Source organism: Homo sapiens, chromosome 10, assembly GCF_000001405.40.
Source record: "Homo sapiens chromosome 10, GRCh38.p14 Primary Assembly".
Lineage (NCBI taxonomy): Eukaryota > Metazoa > Chordata > Mammalia > Primates > Hominidae > Homo > Homo sapiens.
The window spans coordinates 5,334,665-5,338,910 of NC_000010.11; the positions used below are offsets into that span (position 1 = coordinate 5,334,665).

The 4,246-nt window shown below is 50.1% G+C and overlaps 1 annotated feature.

Annotated features, from left to right (window-relative positions):
* Positions 3,708–3,884: a silencer, noted in NCBI's record as "fragment chr10:5380335-5380511 (GRCh37/hg19 assembly coordinates)". NCBI's record gives its function as "represses an EF-1alpha promoter that drives an FKBP-Casp9 reporter gene in an ReSE screen in phorbol 12-myristate 13-acetate-treated (for megakaryocytic differentiation) K562 erythroleukemia cells {active_cell/tissue: K562(+PMA)}" and the evidence as "EXISTENCE:reporter gene assay evidence [ECO:0000049][PMID:32094911]".

A 4,246-nucleotide genomic window follows, 5' to 3' on the forward strand; every position in this document is an offset into this window, starting at 1 on the left:
TCCCCTACTTTACCTCCTTCCTCATTTCAGACCACAAAGATCTAAATCTTCCTTCCACAGTGGGTGAAGGAGTTTGGCTGCATCATGGCGGGAAGCATGGTTTTTGTGTGCAACCAGCAAAGCTCCTTCAGTTTTGAAAGGGAATTGGCCTCTGTGATTACAAAAAACAAAAACAAACAAACAAACAAATAAAAACTTAGCTTAAAATCTGCTCAGGTTTGAATAGAAAAGTGGTGGGTAGAAAGAAGCCCAAGGTAAAAAAGGGAGAATGGATTGAATGTGCGTTTTCTTGACTCTTTCTTCCCACTGTCTGCCTCCTCCGTGGGTATCTCTCACTTACATTCCTGTCGCATCACCTAAGTTGCCCCCAAAAACTACGTGCCCCTTTAACATTCATTCATTCTCATTCAGTTAGCATTTGCTGAGAGCTTCTACTTGCTAAGCACTGGGCTTGGAATAAAGGTGCTGGGTAAATTGGGCCAATCCCTGCCCTAGGAAACTCACAAGTTAGTAGAGGAGTCAGTGGGTAAAGGGAGGATTAGGGGGAAACATGTCAGGGACGTCTCTGTAGTGCCTGCAAGGTGATGCGGGAGATCAAGATGGGAAATGGGAGTCCTGCAGAAAACGCTCATGGTGGAAGTAATGCCACGCCTTGTCTTGAAGGAGGAGCTGGGAGGATAAGGTGCACTCCCAGACACAACCTGTGTCCCAGATGGCACTCACCCTCCTCTGTGCTTTGTTTCCTCACTGGTCCCCCCAACCAGTCTGTGACCTCCTTGAGGGCAAGAATGGCCCTGTTCATCCTCATGTGCTCTGCACTTTGCACACTTCCAGGCACATTAGAGGCCTTCGATCCAAGGCTGGTGGATGGATGGATGGATGAGTAAACAACAAATGAGCAAAACGGCTCTTTTGAAAAGTGCAGCCCCTAGATGATGGGTTGATTGACAGGTGCGGCACACCACCATGGCACACATATACCTATGTGGCAAACCTGCACATTCTGCACTCGTATCCCAAAACTTAAAGTAAAAAAGAAAAGAAAAGAGAAAAGGGAAAAAGGAAAGGAAAGGAAAGGAAAGGAAAGGAAAGGGAGGGGAGGGGAGGGGAGGGGAGGGGAAGGGAGGGGAGGGGAGGGTAAAGGGCAAGCAGCCATTGAAGTAGGAAGAGGATGATAGAAAAACAACGGAAGCAAACCTCAGGGCCCCAGGGTTTTCTGATTGCTTGATTGGGATGGAAGACTTGCTTGTGGCCACCCACTGAGGGCAGAAAGACTGAGGGGGTGGGAGCCTGGGGCCCTGGAGGGGTGAGAGCTTGGGGCCATGGAGGGGTTGGAGCGCAGGGGCGGATGCCATTCACTGCACAGGAAGAACAAAGGGGTAAGAGGGGGTGACAGGTTGATCAAGGCTGTGCCAGTTTGGGTCCATCGCAGCAGGAGAAGAGGCAGGAGGCTGAGGAGCTCACTGGCTTCCCAGGGCAGTGGCCGTGCTACCGTCTGCTGGTGCAGGACAGATGGGGACTCCTTATTCATCACCTCTCCTGGTTAGCTGTGCCCTCCCACACTGGGGTTCTCAGACCCCCAAGTCATTTACCAGCCTTGGCTCCCAGCCCTTGTCCTTTGGGCACCTTGAAAATGTGCCTTGTCTAGAGAATCAGGTTGACAGGTGCTTTTCATCAAAAATCCATTGCAAGGTGGCACCTGACAAGCTTTGAATGTTCTGAGTACGACAGTGTCCCCAGTCTCAGTGTCTTCAAAAGTTTGTCTTTGCGTCAGCTTGACTGGACAGAAGTTCTTGTGTTCTTATTTCCCTTACAGATAAATTCCTGTCCCATCTCCCTGTCGGCTGCCAGCCAGATGGAATCACTGTCTGCTGTCAGCTGGAACAGTTCCTGATAATAGGACGTGCCCGGAATGGGTTGTGTGTGTGTGTGTGTGTGTGTGTGTGTGTGTGTGTGTGTTATGGGATGCATGTATGTATTGTGGGGTGTGTGTATGTGTGTTGTGGAGGGGTATTGTGTGGTGTGTGTGGTATGGCGTGTGATGTGGTTATGGTGTGGTGTGTGGTGATATGTGTGTTGTAGACTGTGTTGTGGGCGTGGTGAGGGGGTGTGTGTTGTCATGTGATGGGTGGTGTGGATATGCGTGTGGTGATATGCATGCAGTGTGTGTGGTGTGTGTTGTATCTTGTGTGTGTTGCATGTCTTGTGTATATGTTGTGTGTTTTGTGTATGTTGTGTGTGTGTCGTGTGGTGTGTGTTTCATGTGTGTCATGTGTGTTTGTGTTATGTGTCATGTATGTTGTATTGTGTCATGTGTGTTGGTGTGTGTTGTGTGTTTTTGTGTGTTGTCTGTATTGTGTTGTTTGTGTGTATGTGTGATGCTCTCTCATGCTAGTTCACTTTCCTCAAATCCCAGCTGGGCTCTGAGCACAGGTTCCAGGTGAAGCCTGACCAGGCCAGGTGACACAGCTTCCTTGTTTCTGTCCCTGTCTCTGGTCTGCTGCAGCCTTAGGAACCGCAGTCTCTTCTTCTTCCCCAGCTGTGTGGTACGAGAAGTAGCTGTGCTTGTAACAGAGCTGGTCACCAAGGCGCCTTGGAGACCAGGGATGAGATGCAGACAGAAAGGGGGGTTTAGAGCACAGCCAGGGACCTGGGGGACCCAAAAAGGGAGTGAATAATTACTAGTCAGCCCAGTTATGTGATTTTCCTCTTCTCTGCTCTACTTAGTCCCGTGGAGCCCCTGGCAGAGCACCTAGTCAAGGCGTCTGGAAAGGCTGAAGCCCTAAGAAGGAATTAGAAGTTCCAGATCAAGTCCAAGGTGGAGAGACGCTTCAGCCCACAGGAGCCTAAGTGTGGCTGGGAAGACCAAGCGGCAATGGGGATTTTATCTTCCTGCAAAGTGTGTGCAATGGCCAAGATAAAATGCTGAGAACAGTTACCAGGCCTGTGAAAGCCGTGTGAGGGGGGCCCCGCGGAGCCAGCCCCATCTGACATGTGGGGAAGAAATCCAGGCCGGTCCTAGGAAAGCTGTGGGAAAGCTCCCGGCCTTCTGTGTGGGACTTTTCCTTCCCTGCCTCCATCTCACATCACTCTCCTTCCAGAACCAAGTACCTCCCTGATGCTCCCTGTTTCCATCCAAGGAAAGCAATCTTGAGGCCCATTCCAACTGACTCGCAAATCTTACCACCCATTTCTTTCCATCTTACGAAAGGAATCCTCTCTCATGGGCACTCAGAGGCAATGTGGTACATAGTAAGGAAGCCATTTCGGATAGGAGGTCCCTTTCCTTGCCCTCAAATCCAACTAACTTTTAATTCTGTTGATGATCAATCAGAAGCTTTTAATATTTTATAAAAACCTTCTTTATTTCTTCATAAGTGAACTTCCTTTATGTATAAGGGAACTAGGGAGGCTGTTTCCTAACTCCTTCCTTCCCTGCTTCCCTCCTTCCTTCCCTGCTTCCCTCCTTCCTTCCTTCCCTCCTTTCTTTGTTTCTGAAACTTCTTTCCTTCCTTCCTTCCTCCTCTGCTTCCTTTCCTCCTTCCTTCCCTCCTCCCTTCCTTCTTTCCTTCCTTCTTTCCCTCCCTCCCTCCTTCCTTTCTTCCTTCCTTATTTCCTTCCCTCCCTCCTCTCCCACCTTCCTTCCTTCCTTCTAATGTATTTTGTGCCCATTGTGGGCCAGCATCCTGATGGCTGGGCAGGTTCTCCAGGCCACCTCTCTTCACCTCCCCACCTAGGGAGCTCACACTGATTCATCGTACGTGATGTCTGGAGCCCTTTGGCCTTTGTGGCACTGTGCTATGTCCCAGGAGCGTGTTCATCCTCCCTCCTCACTGAGACAACTGATAGCATCTTACCCCATTCTGTCCCTGCAACCTCCTCACCACCATCACTTTTTGCTCCAACTGATAACTTCCAAGTACTTTCTAGGCAGTCTGTGGTCAGTGGTACTAAGCCCATGTCATTCATGGCTTCTTTCACTGGTAGACATTTGCCCCTAGGAAGTTTCTGATCTGCACCTCCACAAATAGCTGCCTGTGCCACCTCTCCACCTAAGGGTTCATCCTCAAAGGGCAGACCCAGAGGAAATAAGACCCAGAGGAAGCATGCTTGGGGCCCTTTGGCAGACAAGTCCAAGGTCAAGACATGGGGGCTGTAAATGCAGATAGGAATCCACAGACTACCCCATGGGAGGAGCTGGCCAGTAGAAGGCCAAATGAAGCCCTGGTGGCCACAATTTGCTCCT